Raw genomic sequence first — 23,108 nt, forward strand, 5'->3', positions numbered from 1 at the left:
AGAAACATTTATGATAGGAAATTCCAGCTCTCCATTTGGGGCAAAGTGTTCAAGCAGTGGGGAATTGTTAGGTCTTGGGGTAGTTATCTCCTCACAAAATACCTTACATTATTCTTTAAATTAGATAAATGTTGAGTGAAGTTTGATTTCTCTCATTGTATGTGTGTAAAGCGACTTTGCTTGAGAAATTAGCCTAAAAGTCTATGTAACATGGTCTGATTCAAGGTTTATATCAATTTATGAAATTTGACATAGATAACTTATAATTAGCCTGCTTCATCTTTCCCGGATTGAAGTTTGTTTCTCATTCATTCATTCATTCATTCATACATGCTCCACCTTTAAGGCATCTTCAGAAAAGTACACGTGTGTCACCTGTGTATAACCAGCCATGCCTTGGTCCAGTCCCAGGATTAAGTCACATTCAAAGAAATAAGTATATCAGAGAAAATAATTGAAAATAAATATTTACTTCACCTTTCAGAAAACATCCAAGGGGGTAATAAATGCCATATATTTGATAAAACTTTAAAATCCTCTTTCTCCATCTCTCTGACCTTTTACATGTCTCTCAGCTACTTCCCCAAACTCTTTCTCCTTTTTGAAACCCTTCCCATATCCAGTCAGTGTATCTCCTCATGTCCTTACCTTTTCCCCTTCTTTCCTTTTAGGTTTATTTTCTTCTATTTCTTCTCTCACTATATTTCTTTTTCCACTTCTCCCCCTAATTCATTTCCCACACCTGTGTTCATAAGCTCAGAACCAGGAAAAGGAAACAAACCCAGAGTTCCCTTAGGAGGCAGCATGAGGAAGGAGGCTGAGATCATCCATATGCTATTATATTTTCTCATCATTGCACTTATTAAAGAAATTACGATATACTATTTAAAAATGGAAAGTCCAGACCAGGGAACATATAAATTGGCATGAAAAATGGGACAGTAAATTGCATGCTGCTCTTAGTTGTATGACTGATGCAGAACTACTTCATGGTCGGTGTTAAAAAGGGACTCCTTCCCATATTTCTTCCTCTTAATGAGTAGAGCACACGCCAGTCCCTTTGATAACAAAGCCCTTCCTAGTCCTTAACTCTCTAGGGGCTAAGGAAAAACTTCCCCTTCACCCTCTGAAGCTTCACTGAAAAATGAACTCATAAAAGGCAGATTAATAAGAGAGAAGCATACAATTTTTTTTTAACATTCATGAGGAGAACCCAAGTGTTTGGGAGACCATGAAGTGTTTACCCAAGCCTACAATGGGGTGCAGAAGCTTCTATACCATCTTGAGGTCACGGAAAGAATGGGGCTCAGGGCATGGCCAAAAATCAAGATTACAGTGGCAAGATAGATTATGGGGAAGGAAAGAAGAGGAGGAGGCCTGGCTTGTGAAGGTAGTCTTGTTATACAGATGAAACCTGATAGGTGGCAGCCATCAGAGAGGATAGGTGGTAAATGCTTCTTTCAGATCTTTAAAGGTGTCCGACTCTCAGTTAAATCTTTCCTAGATCAGGACAAGGGAAGACCTGGCTGGATTGATGCAAAACTCCCCCATGAAAGACAGCTTTGCAGGGGTACTTCTGTTTGCAAGCCCTCTGAACAGCCATCTCAAAACATGTCAAAGAAGCATATTCTGGAGTGAAATGCTTTTATTTCCTTCACTAGAGGTGTTCTCTGGTTCTCCAACACCAGTTGAGTGTCCAACAATTCCATTCAATTTTGACACTAACTTCTCAGAGTTAGCCTCAGACTCCACAGATTTAAGAGCTCTGTTGTAAGTCCCAGGTCCCCAGACCACCTGTACTTTTGTCCACCTTGACTGCAAATTTGGGGTTTCCCATGACCGCCTCCTCAGGTTTGAGAGTTCACTAGAACTGCGCAGGGGACTCAGGAAAACACTTTTCTTACACTTAACCAGTTTATTATAAAGGATATAACTCAGGAACAGCCCAATGGAAGAGAGGCAGAGGGCAAGGTATGGGGGACTCAGGGGTGGTAGGTTGGGGGATTCAGGGGTGGTGCCAACAAGCTTCCATGCCCTCTCTGGGTGCACCACCTTCGCAGACGCATAGTGTGTTCATCACCCTGGAAACTTTCAGAACTTCGACATTTAAGGGTTTTTCTTGGAGGTTCATTACCTATGCATGATTGATTAAATCATTAGCCCTTGGTGATTTTTGTTTGTTTGTTTGTTTGTTTTTGAGACAGAGTATCACTCTGTCACCCAGGCTAGAGTGCAGTGGAGCAATCTCAGCTCACTGCAACCTCTGCCTCCCGGGTTCAAGCAATTCTCCTGCCTCAGCCTCCCAAGTAGCTGGGACTGCAGGTGCATGCCACCACGCCTGGATAATTTTTGTATTTTTAGTAGAGATGGGGTTTCACCATTTTGGCTAGGCTGGTCTTGAACTCCTGATTCAAGTAATCAGTCCAACCTCAGCCTCACAAAGTGCTGGGATTACAAGAGTCAGCCACTGCGCGAGGCCTAGGCCTTAGTGATTTAACTCTATCTGCTGTCCCCTCCCCTCTTGAGAAGTGGACTGTCGGGTGGGGCTGAAAGTTCCAACCTTTTAATCCTGGCTGGATCTTTCTGGTGGCTAGACCCCATCTAGAAGCTCTCGAGGCACCTCCCTCCCTCCGCAGCTTTGAGTCATCTCATGAGAATACAAAAGACGCTCTTTATCACTCACGAGATTCCAGTGTTTTAGGAAGTCTGTGCCAGGAACCTGGGGACAAAGACCAAATACAGTAATGTTCCACATAAGCCACTGGCCTCATTTATGATGGTGGTTCCATAAGATTATGATGGGGCTAACAAATTCTATCATCCAGTAACATTGTCACCGTCATAGTGCAACACATTACTCAGTGATGCTGGTGTAAACAAACCCACTGTACTGCCAGCTGTGGAAAAGCATAGTACATACAATTATTTACGGTACATAATACTTGATAATGATGATAAATGACTGTGTTACTGGTTTATGTATTTACTACACTAGTTATTATTATTTTAGAGTGTTTTCTGATTATTAAAAAAAAAAAGCTAAACAGAACAGCCTCAGGCAGGTCTTTCAGGAGGTGTTCCAGAAAAAGGCATTGTTATCATAGGAGAGGATACTTCCCTGTGTGTTATTGCCCCTGAGAACTTCCAGTGGGACAGGATGTGGAGGTGGAAGACAATGACGTTGATGTTCCTGACCCTGTGTAGACCCTCTGTGTTTATGTCTTAGCTTTTGACAAGTTTAAAAAGTAAAACAAAAAAGTTAAAAATTTTAGAAATAGAAAAAAGCTTATAGAATAAGCATATAAAGAAAATATTTTTGTATGCTATACAATGTGTTTATATTTTTAGCTAAATATCAAAAAGTTATTTAAAAACTGATAAAGTAAAAAAGTTATAGTAAGCTAAGGTAGTTTATTATTGAATGAGGGAAAAAATTATATAAATTTAGTGCAGCCTAAGTATACAGTGTTTAGAAAGTCTGCAGTAGAGCACAGTAAGCACATTTACTCACCACTCACTCTCTGACTCCCCAAGAGCAGCAACCATACATGGTAAGGACCCTATACAGGTATATCATTTTTTCTTTTCTTTTTGAGACAGGGTCTTGCTCTGTTGCCCCAGATGGAGTGCAGTGGCATGATCATAGCTCACTGTAGCCTCAAACCTCCCAGGCTCAGGTGGTCCTCCCACCACAGCCTTCTGAGTAGCTGGAACTACTCAGGATGCCACCATGCCTGGCTAAATAAAAAAAAAAGAAAATTGTAGAGACAGGGTCTTTCTAGGCTGGTCTTGAAACTCCTGGGCTCAAGCAGTTCTTCTGCTTTGGCCTCCCAAAGTGCTGGGATTACAGGCTTGAGTCATCGTGCCTGGACACCATTTTTTAATACCATATTTTTATTTTACCTTTTATGGTTTTTTTTGTTTGGTTGGTTTTTTTTTTTTTTTTTTTTTTTTTTTTTTTTTTTTTTTTTTGAGACAGAGTCTCAATCTGTCACCCAGGCTGGAGTGCAGTGGCATGAACTTGGCTCACTGCAACCTCTGCCACCCAGGTTCAAATGATTCTCCTGCCTGAGCCTCCCGAGTAGCTGGGATTACAGGCACCTGCCACTGTGCCCAGCTAATTTTTGTAGTTTTAGTAGAGACAGGATTTCACTTTGTTGGCCAGGCTGGTCTTGAACTCCTGACCTAGAGATCCACTGCCTCGGCTTCCCAAAGTGCTGGGATTACAGGTGTGAGCCACCGCGCCTGGCCTACCTTTTATGTTTTTACACCTGTTTAGATACACAAATACTTACTGGTTACAACTGCCTACAGGATTCAGTACAGTAACATGCTGTACAGTTTTGTAGCCTAGTAGCAATGGGTTCTACCATATAGCCTAGGTGTGTCATAGGCTATTCTATGTGGGTTTGTAGTAAGTATATTCTATAATGTTTGTATAATGACAAAATCACCTAATGACACGTTTCTCAGAATGTATCCCTGTCGTTTAGCAAGGCATGATTATATTTATTTATTTTTTGTTATACCACAACCTGTGGTTGGTTAAAATCAAACTGGTAACTTGAGAGGTGGCCATTGTTGGATTTTTTTTTAAGAGCGTGATCAAGACCGTCTTGTGATTGGATGGTCATTGTCATGGAAATGCACCCTCAGAAAGATGAAAGCAAGGCCAAGATTTTTCTTCAAAATCTATTTTGGGTTTGCCTTTACATGTGAATGAATTATCCAGACTCAGAGTTCTGCACTAACTTTAGAAGGAAAAAAATTTAGAGTAGGTACTACCAGTCTACCACCCCAGAAATTCTGTTTTTGAGCAACATCACTTCCCAAGCAGTAGCCAGCATGTAGCAATTGGAAAAAATACCTCTAAGATGTTGAATGGACATGTTGGATGTAAACCAACTAAATTGAGAGCATCTGCCAAAATAAGTTTTAAAATTTCATACCTGATATTAGATTATTCTTTCTGAAAGTACCTGTAATGACAGAATGATTTATGAGGTCACTTCTAGTTTATGACAATGAAAGTATATTATCATAAAAGGGTACGTATGTCTAAAATTATTCAAAAGCAATGTCAGATTAATATAAGAGTTTATTTTTTAAAGTTGAGAGGAGAGAGAAGTTAAGCTAGAACATATTCTAATTTTATGCTACTTATAAGTGTTTTCTGTCATCAGGCCATTTCTGCTGATCATAAACTATGTTTCCCTTACGAGGCTTTCAGTAGAGTATTAGTTTATATACTAAACTGATTCGTTTCAGGATTCTGTATTTTAGCCCTTATTTCCCTCAATATTTCTACAGTTTAAGTAGTTAACGGGAAAGTCAGTTAAAATTGGATGACAGAGTCGCTGGCATCATTGAGTTTGTGCTTGCTTGAGATTTTTCAAGATAGTATGCTTTGTGTTTGACTAAAATGTCTTCAAGAAAACAACATTTTGCTGTTCTTCCAGAATTATGTCACTGCAATATATTGCTGTTGTAGCAAAATATATGTGTCACGAAAATATATGCCAATGCTGCTTTCTATAAGATTCATTGAGTAGTCAGAGAATACAGTTCATTTTGAGTAAAAAGCATTTCTAAAAAAATAATTTAAAAAGGTTTCCTTTACTAAGGAATTCTAGCAAAATAAAAAAATATTTTGGGAGACTTTCTTGGCTTTGTAAGGGATTATAAACAGCTTTGTGTAAGGGATTATAAACAATGATGAACTGATTCAATGCAGATCTAAGTAATTAGATATGAAAATGAGACTTAACTCTTTAGAAATCCTACCTGTTAAAATTTTCCTTCTAATACTCCCACTTCCAAGAGGCTGTTTTGAAGTCATCCACCATAAATAAAAAATTCACATCTGTAATATTCTAATTGCAGATTTCAGGGTAGTCTTGAATAAACCTTTTGCTTTTGCTTTAGAAATATGTTTATTGCTACTCACTGCCAGTAGTGAATTTTTTCAAGTATCATAGACAATACATTGAATAGCCATAGTAATGATTTAGACATAGACACTAAGACACTAATGTGATATGATGCTCAGTTTGCAATTATTTGTAACATAAAAGCTAAGTTAGCCAGTGTGGTAGGCTGAATAGTGACCCCCAAAGATAGCCAGTTCCTAATCCCTGGTACCTGAGAATGTTACCTTTTATGGCCAAAGAGATCTTGCAGATGTGATTAAGGGCCTTGATATAGGGACATTAACTTGGATTGTCTGAATGGGTCCTATATGCAATCCTAAGTGTCCATATAAGAGGGAGGTTTGACTGCAGAGAAAGCAGTGTGCCATGCAGCTGGCTTTGAAAAATGGAGGAAGGGGCTACCAGTAATATAGCTCTAGAAGCTGGAAAAAGCAAGAAAAGAACCTCTAATGGGGAGGATGGCCCTGTGGACGCCTTGATTTCAGCCTGGTGAGTCTGATTTTAGACTTCTGACCTCCAGAACTGTAAGAGAATAAATGTGTGTTAAGTTACCAAGTGTGTGGTAATTTGGTACAGCAGCCATAGGGAATTAATACATCCAGTCAATTTAACTATGTTAAATAAGCTACGTGCATAATATCAATGTAAAGCAAAAGAGAATAAACAACTTCCAAATACTTTCTTTAAATTTCTCTTTGCCAAATTTGATTAACTTCTGAGTTGCGGTGTTTGTCAGCTTATTCTTGGTTGATAAGCAGTAAAATTCCTAATATTTAAATATATTTGTAGGCCTTTTTGTTGACTTATAGCACAACACAATTCTCTTATTACCTGGAGTGAGTTCCCTTTTCTGGTTCCCTTCCTTAATTTATAGATGAGATATATATTACCATTGTCTGCACCATCAATTTCTCCAAACCATTTTTAGGCCGTGACTCAGCATTCTGACTTCTAGAAAAGGGAACCAAATTCTCACATGGGGCAATGTGTACATTCAACAAAGGGCTGTTTTGTTTTATAAATAATACAATGTAGACATTCTACACAGTGTGCATCCATTTTGCAGCAGTGTCATTTTGATCCTGGTACTGGGGGATGCTTATAAGGTTTTCTGAAATGTCCCACCCCAAGGCTTCTCTGAGAGAGAATTTGGTTTTGGCCATTTCTGGCCCCCACACTTTGGTTACCGGGGTCTTCTAAGACCTGCTGACCCACCACTGTTTTAACAGTACAAGGAAATCCTAGAAAAGGAAAATTGAATTGTTGTGGTTTCCCCTGATTGGCATTCTGTTTATCTGTCTTTATTAGAATGTGGTTGTTCTTTGAGGCTAGGGGAAATGCTGTTGTGTGTATGTGTACCCATCTGAAGGATATATTGCTAGTTATTGAACACAAAGCCAAAGAATCTCTTTTCCTAACTGTATTGGTTCTTTGAAGCCGGAGTATTTTCGTTTTAACTGATGAATTTCAGTTTTAGCAGTGGGAAGAATCTCATTATCACGATTAGAAAAAAGGAAAAAAAGAATGCATGTCTCCATGGGTTACACTAGAATCAGGAACATCCACAGGTTTTTCCAGTGATTACTCTTAAATCTTTTGTTTTTATTTGGCCAGAATTCCAAGAGAAAATTTTCTTCAAGTGAGTTGTTGTTTTAACTGTTTTTCTCCCTTTGCCTTTAAGTTTGACTTAATTTGGCATATAATGGCTCATAAGTGGGGATTTTCAGTGGAAATGGAAAACTATGAAATGACAAAATGAAATGGAGTTCAAAGAGTGATGTTCTTCTAGAAATAATAAGTGGCTTTGTATTGATGACTAAATTCATAGAGTTAAATACAATTAATATTTATGTAGAGTGAGAAAAAGGACATGAACATATATTAATACCTGGCATTTGTCACATACCTTCTTTTTTGTGTTAAATATGTTGTGCTTTATATGTTCTCTCATTTACTTGGATTCTTTGAAATCCCCAAGTAAGAATAACAGCAGCAGCACAACAAATTAGTAACTTTTGTTTATTAAGCTCTTCCTGGAAACCAGGCACAGGTTGTGTTTAATAGTAAAGTAAGCTTTCTCTGTACCATTTGCTTTAATCACCATTAAAAACCCATTGGAGGCTATTATTTTTATGTCAAGGACAACAAACCTGAGGCTTAGATTTGGTAACTCGCCAAAGGATGTGCATCCAAAGTACAAGACGATTCAAACACAAACGTTTCTGCCCAAAGACTGAGCTCGTTCCATTGTCAGAGGTGGCAGAAGTCAGAATTAGACGACCAGGAAAAAACAGCCTAGGCCCTGAAGGTCAGAACAATGCAATGACAAGGCTGCAGCCAGAACAGCCAAGAAAAGAACCAAGAGAAGGTCCCTGGAGGGAGGCAGACCAGCTCTATCTGATTTAAAAAAAAAGTGATGTGGGATTGCAGTCCAGCAATTTACTAAGCTAGCTGGACTCAGGAGAAAGAATGAACCACTAAACAAGAGGTAGCAAAATGTTGCCATAGCTGCAGATATTTAATTTTGTTGTTGTTTGTTAACCTTATAATTACAAAAGTAATATATGCTTACCGTACAAAAGATTCAACACCACCACATTACATACCTATAAAGTAAAAGTTCTTGGCTGGGCACGGTGGCTCATGCCTGTAATCCCAGCATTTTGGGAGGCTGATGTGGGCAGATCACGAGCTCAGGAAGTAGAGACCATCCTGGTCAACATGGTGAAACCCCATCTCTACTAAAAATACAAAAATTAGCTGGGCATGGTGGTGCTGCATGCCTGCAATCCCAGCTACTCAGCAGGAGAATCGTGTGAACCAGGGAGTCGGAGGTTGCAGTGAGCCAAGATCGCGCCACTGCCCTCCAGCCTGGTGACAGAGCAAGACTCTGTCTCAAAAAAACAAAAAAGTGCAAGTTCTTCTCTCCCCACTCATTGACCAACCGTTTTCTCATACATCCACCGAACCTGTATATATCCATATCTATGTGTATATTTGGTCTTGAGGGATTTTGCTTTTTTTGTTGTTGTTTTTTCCACAAAAATGGAGTCATGCTGCAATACTGTTTTACATCTTTTTTTCATGAAATAATGCTATAGCTACATATTTTATATTAGTACTCTATTTCCCTACAGAGGCGATTTTAAGGAGAAAGTTTGTATGAAAGAAGACTTTCATGGGTCTGTTCTCATGGCTGGTCAATTTTGATATTTTCTAGTTTTCTTCCTGGAGCTATTAGCCCCAAATTATAGAGCAGTGTTTTGTTGTTGTTCTTGGTTTGGTTTTGGTTGTTTTTTTGTTTGTTTTTATTTTTGCTTTTAATAGCCTTTGTAGAGGAATGGGCTTCTGACTGTCTTGGCTTCTGGACTTTTCCAGGGCTAGAAATTCTGCAGTGGAAGGAAAATGTAATCAAATGTGAGACTTAGAAAAAACATAGGGAAGTGCAAGACCCTTGGGATGGTTTAGTTTGGATATAAAAAAGAAAAAAAAATTTTTTTTTTTTTTTTTTAATCAAAACAACTTTAACACATTTCCTACTCTTCTCCGCCAAGGGCAAACTATTAGAGCCAGACAGGACCTTGAAAATCATGTTAGCCTCTTGCTTTTGTTTACTTAGAAGTCCCAGGGGGTTTATCATATTTCCAATGCAGGTTGCAGGGCTGATTACAGAGAAAGCCAAGCCCAGAACCCAAATCTGTGTTCCAGTCTTTCTGTGAGTGCACAATCCATTGAAGCCCACTAAATTTTCAGGCCCCCACATAGTTTGTAGAATTTTCAGAGTCCACTGGATTTTATTTTAAAGTTGACGTTTACATATATGCCATAGCCACATTTAGAGGGGCTTCGGGGAGGCCCTGTGGCAGTTGGCTGTAACCTAGGCTTGTGAATTCCCGCTCCACAACTAAACTGTGCCCTGTGACCTTGGGAAATGGCCCTAGTTTTTCTCAGCCTTCCTTTTCTTATCTGTAAAATAGAGATAAAACTCCCTACCTCATTGGGCTTTTGTGAGGATAGGCTAATATTTGTGAAGTACATAGCATGGTGCCTGGTTCCTTAGTCAACTTAGTAGTTCCTGTTAGAAGAAAGCTGTTTAAAGCTTGTCATAAGTTTTTGAAAAGTAAAATTCAGTTTAAAAAATTTGACAATATTTGTGTGTTAGATTATTATAGTAGGAGAGAGATTTCAAAGACTACTTAAAATATTTTTAATATGTAATTGTACATGGTATAAAATTCAAAATGTACAAATGAGAACATAATAAAAAGTATTTGTGTGTGTGTGTATGTACCCTTGTACACATATTTTCTGCATATACTTGTTACATTTTAAATACTGTATCTTTAGCCTTCTCTCTAATCTCTTGCAAATAGGACTAACTATAGCTCTAGATCAATATTGTCTAGTACTTTCTGTGATGCTGGAAGTATTCTGTATTGTGTGTTGTCCAATAGAGTAACCACTAGGACATGAGTCTAGAAATGTATTTCTTACAAGTGAATAATTTTAAGTTCAATTTTAACTAAATGTAGTAACTATCGGTGACTGGCTGGTGGCTACCACATTGAGCAATGCCATACAAGGTATTTACGTCTTTTTCAAAAGTGTGCATTTTTCAAAAACACATGGATCCCAAATTTTAAAATTAAGAACAGAGTCATATATAACTGTGAATTTAATACTAATTAAAGCAGTCTGTAGTTCAGTACATTTTAAATTATGTGTGGCTAATATGTAGAAAGCTGAAACTGGATCCCTTCCTTACACCTTATACAAAAATTAATTCAAGGTGGATTAAAGACTTAAATGTCAGACCTAAAACCATAAAAACCCTAGAAGAAAACCTAGGCAATGCCATTCAGGACAGAGGCATGGGCAAGGACTTCATGTCTAAAACACCAAAAGCAATGGCAACAAAAGCCAAAATTGACAAATGGGATCTAATTAAACTAAAGAGCTTCTGCACAGCAAAAGAAACTATCATCAGAGTGAACAGGAAACCTACAGAATGGGAGAAAAATTTTGCAATCTACCCATCTGACAAAGGGCTAATATCCAGAATCTACAAAGAACTCAAACAAATTTACAAGAAAAAAACAACCCCATCAAAAAGTGGGCAAAGGAATGAACAGACACTTCTCAAAAGAAGACATTTATGCAGCCAACAGACACATGAAAAAATGCTCATCATCACTGGTCATCAGAGAAATGCAAATCAAAATCACAATGAGATACCATCTTACGCCAGTTATAATGGCGATCATTAAAAAGTCAGGAAACAACCAATGCTGGAGAGGATGTGGAGAAATAGGAATGCTTTTACACTGTTGGTGGGAGTGTAAATTAGTTCAACCATTGTGGAAGTCAGTGTGGCAATTCCTCAAGGATCTAGAACTAGAAATACCATTTGACCCAGCCATCCCATTACTGGGTATATACCCCAAGGACTATAAATCATGCTGCTATGAAGACACATGCACATGTATGTTTATTGCGGCACTATTCACAATAACAAAGACTTGGAACCAACCCAAATGTCCATCAATGATAGACTGGATTAAGAAAATATGGCACGTATACACCATGGAATACCATGCAGCCATAAAAAAGGATGAGTTCATATCCTTTACAGGGACATGAATGAAGCTGGAAACCATCATTCTCAGCAAACTATCACAAGGACAGAAAACCAAACACCGAATGTTCTCACTCATAGGTGGGAATTGAACGATGAGAACACTTGGATACAGGGTAGGGAACATCACACACTGGAGCCTGTCGGGGGGTGGTGGTTGGGGGATGGATAGCATTAGGAGAAATACCTAATGTAAATGACGAGTTGATGGGTGCAGCAAACCAACATGGCACATGTATACTTATGTAACAAACCTGCATGTTGTGCACAAGTACCCTAGGACTTAAAGTATAATAAAAAATAAATAAATAATGTGTGGCTAATAAACTTTATTTTAAAATCAAATACCTTAAATAAGAAGATGGGAGTTCATTTTGGAGACCATGCTGCTAATCAGAGAAAGCTGTGAAATGGCTGTTTGTAGAAGAGCACATCTCAACCAAATCAGAACATTTAAATCAACTTAAAGTGGAAAAATTCAGAAGATTAAGAAGCAGCATATCTCAGAACATGGGCTCATTTATCCATTAATTTATTCAAGAAATATTTACTGAGTACCTAATGTGTGCCATGTAAGAAAGGAACTTGCCCAAGACCCTGGCTTTGCTTACTGCCAGTGCCCCAAACTCATTTCCTTTTGTAAAAGAAAAAGCTTCAGAAGAAAACCCGTTTTCATTCAGCTACTACAAATGATTTCTTTAGCAGGAGCCCCTTGCTCACTTCTGCAGTCAGTCGGCTAACTCTGGGCTGGAACACTAGTAGGGAAAAAGTGAAGTATGTGTGCATTCTACAAGTGCCTACACCATTATAATATAAAAAAGCCAAGAGATTCCAGAATTTAAAAAAGCTCTTTAATATTCCTTTATGGAAAGGTATAAATAAGAAGCTCGCAATCATGGTATCAAGCCACATTGCCTCATTCTTCTGCCCTTGGGGAAGCCCATAGCGTAATTTGTCTTTTCTTTTGGCTTTCACCTTGCCTTCCCCAAACAGTGATTGCTTCTTATGTTAGCATTGCATTTGTTCTAAGTCTTATTCTTTTTTTGCACTTTGAAAATTTTCTGTTATGACATGTTTTGTTTTCATAATAAAAGAAGAAAAATATAATATCATAAAACGTAGTCCAGGCCACAGAGATGATGAAAGCCTGACAAAGCAGAGATTATGAAGAGAAGGTAAACTGGAGTGGGAAAGATAGGATTAGAAGATAGAATTGACAAGTCTTGACTACAATTTAAAACACCTGTTTTATGTAATTGTGATGTATTTTAAAGAAATACAAATGCAAAATAAAGGTTTTGGGTTTTTTTCCCACTTGTACTCACAGCAATCAAATCTTAAATGTACTTCATTATTTTTCAGTCACTCATCATTTAAGATGATTTGCCAAGTGTATTTTTAGTCCACAGTATAAAATCAGTCTATATTTGAGGTCATGAAAAATGCTTAGATGAAATAATGGGAGTTCATTTTTCTGCAAGACCAATTTTTTTCAGTTTATCTTAAGTTAATGATAGCAAATCCGTATTGTGAGACTATCTTAACAAGATAGATATTGACGTAAAAACAAAAGGTAAGGACTGAAAGATTAAAGCCCTGAAAAGGAATGCTTGAAGAGCATTAACTATACCAAATTTCTCAGGTTGGCAGCTATTCTCCTTTGTAAAAAGTGTTAGAAATTGATCTCTATACTTGGAAGGAAGGATTTTACAGAGGGCTTCCAGAAACACATCTGATTTCCAGTTGCAAGATCAGAATATTCTAGTTATATTGATAATCTCCAGAGAAACAAAGTCTCATGAGTACTTTAGTCAAAACAAAAGATTATCTGATTGTAGAATTTCTAAGGTATTAAATGGTACTCTGCTGTTAAACAACTTTGGGATTGCTATTTTCTAGCTTTTTTTCTGAAGTAACAACTGTGTTTGGCTATATGTGTTGATAATAATAGTCTGTGTAGAAAAGGGAGAAAAAGAATAAAACAATGTATCCCATTTTGTTATTTCCATGAGTGAAAATGAGTCTCTAATGAGATGTCCCCAAACAGTGCTGCCGTTCATCAAAGCACATGCCCCAGATCTGAGTGAGTTTAATTATCGTGGGGACAGTGAAAGGAGGACATTTAAATCAACTTAAAGTGGAAAAATTCAAAAGATTAAGAAGCAGCATATCTCAGGCTGCATAGAACTAATATTAGTATTTGACATCTCTTTTCATCTAGAAGGAATCACCTTCGGAAGGGGGCAACAAAGTTAATCCCAAACATGTTTTTGATCAGCCAATACATCAGAATCAGCCCATCATTTTGGAGAAAGAGATGAGCTCTCTGCATAGATAAGCCTCCCAATGTAAAGAGACAAGCTCTGTGTGGTATCTAGATTGCTGCAGAATAATTTGAGCCTCACGCAGGACTTTTGATCAGAAGAGAAATTTTGATCAGGAGAGAAATTGTTTTATTAGGGGCATTATCTGAATTTTGCTAGAGCAACCTACTCCTTTACCAGAAAAATAAGTTAAAATCAGGATAGAAAATAATATGTTTAATGAAAATAATTCCTTTTTATGAGTCTCCAATTGTTTGGTGATTTTTGGTTATTTTTTTATTATTAATTATATGATTATTTCAATAGCTTTGGTGGTACAAGTGGTTTTTGGTTATGTGGATGAATCATATAGTGGTGGAGTCTGAAATGTTAGTGCACCTGTCAACTGAGTAATGTACATTGTACCCAATATGTAGTTTTTTATCCCTCAGCCACATCCCACCCTCCTCTGGTCCATTATCATACTATATGTTTTTGCATCCTCATAGCTTAGCTCCCACTTATAAGCGAGAACATGTGATATTTGATTTTTCATTCCTAAGTTACTTCACCTAGAATACTTACCTCCATTTCCATCCAAGTTGCTGCAGAAGACATTATTTTGTTCTTTTCTGTGGCTGAGTAGTAGTCCATGGTGTATATAGACCACATTTTCTTTATCCACTCATCAGTTGATGGGCACTTTGGTTTATTCCATTTCTTTGCAATTGTGAATTGTGCTGCAATAAACTTACACATGCAGGTATTGTTTTCGTATAATGACTGTTTTTCCTTTGGGTAGATACCCAGTAATGCAATTGCTGGATCGAATGGTAGATATACTTTTAATTTCTTCGAGAAATTGCCATACTGCAAATGTTGTACTAATTTATATTCCCACCAGCAATGTATAAGTGTTCCCTTTTCACCACATCCACACCAACATCTATTGTTTTTTGACTTTTTAATAACAGCCATTCTGGCTAGAATAAGGTGGTATTTCATTGTGGTTTTTATTTGTATCTCCCCGATGATTCGTGATATAGAGCATTTTAAAAAATAAGTTTGTTGGCCATTGTATATCTTTTTTTTTTTCGAGAAATATCTATTCATGTCATTTGCCCACATTTTAATGGGATTATTTGCTATTGTCTTGCTGACTGAATACCTTATAGATTCTAGATATTAGTCCTTTGTCAGATGCATAGTTTGTAAATATTTTCTCCCATTCTGTCTGTTTACTCTCATGATTTCTTTTTCTTTTTGTTGTTGTTGTGCAGAAGCTTTTTAGTTTAATTAGGTCCCATTTATTTTTGTTTTTATTGCATTTGCTTTTGGGGTCTTAGTCATAAATTCTTTGCTTAGGCCAATGTCCGGAAGAGTTTTTTTGTTTGTTTGTTTCTTTCTGAGAAAGAGTCTTTCTCTGTCGCCCAGGCTGGAGTTCAGTGGCACAATCTCAGCTCACTACAACCTCCGCCACCTGGGTTCAAGCGATTCTCCTGCCTCAGCCTCCTGAGTAGCTGGGACTACAGGCACGTGCCACCATGTCTGGCTAATTTTTGTATCTTTAGTAGAGATGGGGTTTCACCATGTTGATCAGGCTGGTCTCGAACTCTAGACCTTGTGATCTGCCTGCTTAGGCCTCCCAAAGTGCTGGGATTATAGGGTGAGCCACCGCGCCCAGCCCAGAAGAATTTTTACTAGGTTTTCTTCTAGAGTTTTTGTGGTATCAGGTCTTAGAGTTAAGTCTTTAATCCATCTTGAGTTGATTTTTATGTATGGTGAGAGATAAGGGATGCAGTTTCATTGTTTTGCATATAGCTATTCAGTTTTTCCAGCACCCTTTATTGAATAGAGTTTCCTTTCCCCAGTTTATGTTTTTGTATGCTCTGTCGAAGATCAGTTGGTTGTGAGTATTTGGCTTTATTTCTGGGTTCTTTATTCTGTTCCATTGCAATGTCTATACATTTACATTTATACAGGTACCATGCTGTTTTGGTAACTATAGCTTTGTAGTATAATTTGAAGTTGGGTAATGTGATGTCGGGTAATGTGATGCCTTCAGATTTATTCTTTTTGCTTAGGATTTCTTTGGCTATTTGGGCTCTTTTTTGGTTCCATATGAGTTTTAAGATTGTTTTTTCTAATTCTGTGAAAAATGATGTTGGTATTTTGATAGGAATTGCATTGAATCTGTCGATTGCTTTGGGCAGTATGGTCATTTTCACAATATTGATTCTTCCAGTCCATGAGCATGGGGTGTATTTTTATTTGTTCATGTCATCTACAATTCCTTTCAGCAGTGTTTTGTAAGTTTCCTTATAGAGATATTTTGAGTTCTTTTTTTTGTTCTCTTTCTTTTTTCTCTGCCTGTCCTTGAGTTCTTGATTTGATTGTCAGCTTGGTCATTGTTGCTGTATAGCAGTGCTACTGATCTGTGTACATCGATTTTGTATCCTGAGACTTTACTGAATTTATCAAATCTAGGAATCTTATGAAGGAGTCTTCAGGGTTTCTAGGTATTTGATTGTATAATTGGCAAACAGAGATAGTTTGACTTCCTCTTTTTTTATTTTGGATGCTCTTAATTTCTTTCCCTTTCCTGATTGCTCTGGCTAGGACTTCCAGTTTTGGTCTTTTAAACAAACATTAAAAGATAGCTAAACTAAGAGATGGGGAGTATATTCATCTATGACTTTTCCTCTGCTGCTCTGTCTCTTATGCCATATACTAATTTGTTAGCCAATGAATATCTAAGAACCTGGCTGCTCAGTGTTCAGTAAATAATAGCCTAATTAAAATACCTTGTTGGAATATGGGACCTTTATCTCCAAAGCTGAATGTCTCATTTTTCTTACCATGCTTAGTTGTCATGTCTTTATGATTGTATTAGGGGATATTTTACTATTTCTGTTTCTGTTTGTGTTATATGTTGACATGTATTATGTCAATTAAGCCTAATAAAAGATCCTGTTAGAGACCTAAGGAAGTACAGTTATCACCATTTAAGATATAAGAAAACTAAGGTTCAAGGCGTGAAATTCCTAGCCTGAGGTCAGAGTTCTCTTAAGTGTTGTAGCCTCAGGGAGGGACCTCTCTAGCCTGCCAAATTGATTTGTTTGACATCACAGAACAATGCAGTGAAATATCAAATTTCAGTCCCTGTGTATCCTACAGTTATCTCATTTTTCTACCCAAACAGGTCCTTATCCATTGCCCAACATCAAATTGGACATATGCTCAAAAGGGTGAAGGAAATAGAAATGTATGAGAGAAATCTAACTGTGCCTAGATACTTTCTATCTAGGCACAGGGAAAAGGGACATAATTTTAAAATACATATTTATATATGAGTAGAGTACAACATATACTAGAGGCCAAGGCCCTTGTTCTCAAAGCACTTAGATTCTGATAAGGCAAAAACATTCTCGACTATCAAGTACAGAGTGACATATCAATTAATTACAGAGTGATGTGTCCACTGAAAATATTTTGAGGTATTGGCTTTCAGTGAATTATGCTAACTTTATCTCTTACACATATTTGGCTCAGGAGTAAAGAATTTGTAACATCAAATATGTTAACTAATAATCAAATAATCAGTCAGCTATCAGTAATCATAATGAAAATCATGTATTGTCATTATGGCATTTTCTATTTTAGGAAATGCAGCTCTTTCTTCACTACTATTGCCATATGTTTAAAGGAAAAGAATTACTCCTATGTGACCCAGTTCACACCTTGCCAAATCCTTTTACTCAGTATGTGAGCCAATTACAAAGGACTTGTTTTTACAAATGTGCTTGCCCATCAGTCAAAAGTACCACTGAAACCAGAAACATTTTCTTAAAATGTAATCTTCCAAACATGGCATTCTAGTAGCATAACCATATATTGTGATTTTTAAAAATACTCAACATTTCTTAGCCTATGGAAGAATCTCATTTTTCCTCAGGCCTATGGCAGTTCTCAATAATTTTATGAGATATAGTATTGACTATATCAAGTTGAAGAAAGGCCACAGATCTCCATGTAAGAATTTGTAAGTTATTGGAAAAGAAAAAAGAACAATACATGTAATGAACCATATTATAAGGAAAGTGTTTTCTGTATCAGTTCATTAGTTTTCAAAGTCCAGCAGCGTGAAATTAATATGATTTCTACCAGCAAATCATCTCTCCAATGTTTTTTCTTTTTTTTCCCTCTTTCCTAGACTGAAAAAGAAAAAACAAGCCAAACAAAATGCAGAGACAGCCTCAGCTGTAGCTACAAGGACTCATACTGGGAAGGAAGATAATAATACAGTAGTTTTAGAGCCAGACAAGTGCAACATTGCTGTGGAAGAGGAATATATGACTGATGAGAAAAAAAAGAGAAAAAGTAATCAGTTAAAGGAGATCAGGCGTACAGAACTAAAGAGATATTATAGTATTGGTGAGTATTCATGGCGTTACTGCAGTATTTTCATTTAAAAAATCTATAAGAATTTTTAAAAGACTATCATTTGTGATTGATCATAATAATGGTAACAGTTTATGGAGCAGCTGCTATGTGCCCCTGGCCCTTGCTTTACATACATAATCTTGTGTAAGGGGATCACACTAAAATAATGTCTCATTTAAATTTGTGTTCCCAGCATTTAGCACAGTGCCCAGAATGTATTGTGTACTACTAAACGTTTATCTAATGAAGAGTCACTTTCTCTTTATGAGAAATATTTTTCTTAATGTATGTAGACATATTCATAAATATGCTGATAGAAATGCCTGTACTTTTTGGCATTTGCTAGACAGTAGAAAATGGAGGAGACTTGGCCTAGCAAGTTTTTGTTTTTGTTTTGTTAAAAAAACAAAAACAAAAACAAACAAAAAAAAACACCTAGGAGTCTTTTTTTTGAGACAGAGTCTTGCTCTGTCCCCTAGGCTGGTGTGCAATGGCATGATCTCGGCTCACTGCAACCTCTGCCTCCCAGGTTCAAGCAATTCTCCTGCCCCAGCCTCCCAAGTAGCTGGGATTACAGGTGCCCACCACCATGCCCGGCTAATTTGTTGTACTTTTAGTAGAGACGGGGTTTCACCATGTTGAGCAGGCTGGTCTTGAATTCCTGACCTCAGACACTTGAGAATCTTAAAGGGAATCTTGAAATGAGTCCATAGTGTTATATAGTTTCTCAGAATAACCCGTGCATCTGAAACTACATTCGCAGAAGTGGCGTATCTAGCTTGACCTGAATCACCCATCTCACACCTACTGTTCTATCACATGCATACATGGATTTTGTTTCAAAGAGAATGCAAATAAATGAAATAAATAAGGGTACCAGGAATCAGAACTTGGCGTGGCATACAGGTTATGGCATACTTGAGATTGCTAGGAAAGGGAGAGAAAACTGAGAGCAGTGTCTGAGAACATACTGCAAATACGGTAAATGAAATGTGGTCTCATAGCAGAGAAATGACACTCGTTCTGGGCCACCCTCAACTTGGTCCTCATTAATACCAAAGTTACAGGAAGACATATGTTTATGTCTCCATGTTTTTTTGTTTGTTTTTTGTGTTTTTTTTGAGACAGAGTCTCGCTCTGTCACTCAGGCTGGAGTGCAGTGGCGCGATCTCGGCTCACTGTAAGCTCTGCCTCCCGGGTTCACACCATCCTCCTGCCTCAGCCTCCCGAGTAGCTGGGACTAGAGGCACCCGCCACCACGCCCGGCTAATTTTTTGTATATTTAGTAGAGACGGGGTTTCACCGTGTTAGCCAGGATGGTCTCGATCTCTTGACCTCGTGATCTAAGAGATGGGGCCTCCCAAAGTGCTGGGATTACAGGCGTGAGCCACCATGCCTGGCCATGTCTCCATGTTTAATGTAACCTTCCAACAGTGTTGGAAGACATATGGCATGGCATACAGGTCATGGCATACTTGAGATTGCTAGGAAAGGGAGAGAAAGCAAAGGGCAGTCACTAAGAACACACTGCAAATACGGTAAATGAAATGTGGCCTTGTAACAGAGTAATGACACTTGTTCTGGGGTGTCCTAAACTTGGTCCAAGGTAAGGGAAACATACCTTGTATCCATGTTTAATGAAACCTTCCAACAGTGTTTGAACAGTATTCCAAGATAAAATGGACTGCCCTTGAGGTAGTAATAAAAGCTGCATTGCTGATGTTGCTACCGTACAGGCAGATGATCTATCGGCAGCCGAAAGCATGTGGTTTGTAGCTTTACAGTGGGCTAAGATGATAGTATAATGTATTACATGTCTTAATGGATGTTTTTAATCTCAAGCTATTCAGTATTTTATAAAAAGCTATAACTGTCAACCTGTTGAAAGATACTTCTGTACTATTAATAAACTTCCTTTTAAAATGTAAATATTAAATATTATCCCTTATTTCCAAAAAGAGGAAGAGGATTAAGGAAAATTGCATTTCATATCTTTCGTTTGTTTTGAGATTGGGTCTTGCACTGTCACCCAGACTGGAGTACAATGGTAGGATTATAGCTCACTGCAACCTCCGACTTCAGGGCTCAAGCAGTCCTTCTGCCTCAACCTCGTGAGTAGCTGGGATTACAGGCATATGACACCACACTCAGCTATATATATACACATACACACACACACATATATATATATATTTTTTTTTTTAAGAGAGAAAGATGGGGTTCTCACTATAAAATTGGTCTCAAGCTTCTAGTCTCGAGCAGTCTTCCGGCCTCGAAGTCCGACCAGCAATGCTCCTGCCTTGGCCTCCCAAAGCATTTTTTTTTTTTATATACAGAGTCTCGCTCTGTCACCCAGGCTGGAGTGCCATGGCACAATCTCAGCTCACTGCAACCTCTGCCTCTGGGGTTGAAGCAATTCTCCTGCCTCAGCCTCTCGAGTAGCTGGGATAACAGGTGCACACCATCACGCCCGGCTAATTTTCAGCAATGCAGCACTTATTACCACCTATTTTTTTAGTAGAGATGGGATTTCACCATGTTGGCCAGGCTGGTCTTGAACTCCTGACTCCAAGTGATCCACCCACTTTGGCTTCCTAAAGTGCTGGGATTACAGGCATGATCCACTGCACCCGAGCCCAAAGCGTATGCTTTTTTTTTTTTTAAATGATTTCTCGCTGTAATAGGATAACCTTTTTATGTGGTATACTCTGTCGCGTGTGTAATGCTGAGTCTGAAACAATGTGCTTCACTCTTTACCTGACTGGCTCTTACCTGACTTAACAAAATCAGCTCAGTCATCATTTCTTCCAGAAGCCCTCCCTGTCCCTGTCCAGGTTAGACTTCCTTTCTGCATTGTTATCATGGATGTATTTGATTACCTATGTACAGGCTGGGGTGACTTAGACCCTAGAGTATTAGCTTTGTGTAGTGTCTTCAGCTTGACGTGTGCTCTTTAAGTGTGCATTGAAAGGAATAGTTAATACATAGATAAATGAATATTTTTAATTGTTGGAGTTTCAAGAAAACTCTGGAAGAACATAGATAATAGTGTAGTCATTGGGTCAGAAGTATCCTGTGATTTATCTGGTAGCAGTAAGTAAAGAAATGTGGCCAGGCTCAGTGGTTCACACCTGTAATCCCAGCACTTTGGGAGGCTAAGGTTAGGAGGATCACTGGAGGCCAGGAGTTCAAAGCCAGCTCAGGCAATGTACAAGATCCTGCCTCTACAAAAAATACATTAGCCAGGCATAGTAGCACACACCTGTAGTCCCAGCTACTTGGGATGCTGAGGTGAGAGAATTGCTTGAGCCCAGGAGTTGGAAGGTGCACAAATCTACTGCACTCCAGACTGAGTGACAGAGCGAGACACTGTCTCTGAAAAAAAAAAAAAGAAAGAAATGCCATTAAAGCTTACCATCTCTCAAGAATAACAATGATAGCAACCGGTTTGGAGGTTTGAGGCATTTCCTCAGGAGAAGCCAGTGCTTAGATAAAACCTCTAGGTGGAATTCACCTTTCCACCTAGACCCTTTCCAAATCTGACTAGAGGTGACAAACTCTCATCTTGGCAGGTTTGTTGGCTCTCCCAGCGTCTGACCTGGCGTGTTTCTCAGTCCCATCCCAAGGCGATGTTCTCTACCGCTAGATGGAGCATCAGACCTCAAGTCAAGAGCATCCCAGTTCACTGCTGCTTTTGGTGGCTCTAGTCTGGGAGGGAAGGGGAGACTTGAAAATGGGAGGATCTCATTGGCTTGCTAAGGATTTGGGATTTACCTTGTAGTCAGTGGAGAGCCATTGGAGGAGAATGTCAAGGGAAAAGGAAATTCTTTACTTTTTGTTTGCTCTACATTTAGTTTACCATCAACTCTGTGATGAATCTGATATGAAGAAGGCAGGCTGTGCTGGTCTGAGACTAGGGCTTAGGGGAAGGGGCACACCGAAGGGGCACACAGCAGCATTTGATGGTCAGTGTAGTGTGTGAGGGAGGAAAAAAAAAAACAGAGGCAAAAATTGACAGACTAGGAAGCTCAAGAAGGAGGAAAGAAGATAATGAATTTGTTTGGAGATGTTTTTGAGCTGCCAGGTAGATTTGTCTAGAGGGGCCTAGATTTCATGTGAAAGGCCTACAAATTGCTACTTACAGGTATCAGAAGAATCTGCATGTGTAAAACAAAAGTAATCCAGTGAATGCACAGAGAGCCAAAATGAAAAGTTAATGGACAACAAGTAATAATGAATGTATCGAAAAAAAGACTAGGAGGATATGTAACAATATGTTGATAGTTGTTTTCTCTGGTTACAGAAATTTTGAGGCAGTTTTTTTGTATATTACACATAGTTATTTTTAATATTAATAATCAGAAAATAGAGTTGAAAATAAAGTAAAAGTAAGGGCTTTGCAAAAATCAAAAGCATTAGACAAATACGAAGTTCTATAAGCAATATATAACAAAATAATTACTTTCTGTAGGTATCTATTCCACATCTATAACATCATCTGCCTGATCCAAAGAAGTGTATTTCGATAAAATAATGTTTTTACTTGTGAAATTACTTTTATCTGTGCCTCACTTAATCCTTGGGTAATAAGTCATTGCTATCTCCTGACACTTAGGAAAACACAACAGTTCAGATACTAATAAAGGATGCTTCAGAAAGATTGAGTCACTAGAATTGCCTCATAACAACATGGTGCTAATTCTAAAAATGCCTTGTTTTTTGAGAGGGAAGTAGGAGAAAGGAAGCAGAGTGATTACATTGAGGCAGATGGCATCAGATAAATCTAGATCCAACACC

General features: G+C 38.2%; 1 protein-coding gene across 17 annotated transcripts in view; it reads left to right on the top strand.

Moving 5' to 3' along the window:
• Positions 1-23,108, top strand: part of NCOA7 (nuclear receptor coactivator 7) — a 150,920-nt gene that overhangs the window by 55,824 nt on the left and 71,988 nt on the right. For 16 of the 17 annotated variants that reach the window (XR_007059204.1, XM_047418206.1, XM_047418207.1 and 13 more), the window contains one exon: positions 18,082-18,302. The exons of the other annotated variant lie outside the window; for it this stretch is intronic. Coding sequence is in view for 15 of the 16 variants with exons in the window: in XM_047418206.1 (XP_047274162.1) it covers positions 18,082-18,302 (221 nt within the window). In the remaining variant the exon portion in view is untranslated. The remainder of the gene's footprint in view (positions 1-18,081; positions 18,303-23,108) is intronic. 17 annotated transcript variants of the gene reach the window in all.

This window comes from Homo sapiens, chromosome 6, assembly GCF_000001405.40.
Source record: "Homo sapiens chromosome 6, GRCh38.p14 Primary Assembly".
Lineage (NCBI taxonomy): Eukaryota > Metazoa > Chordata > Mammalia > Primates > Hominidae > Homo > Homo sapiens.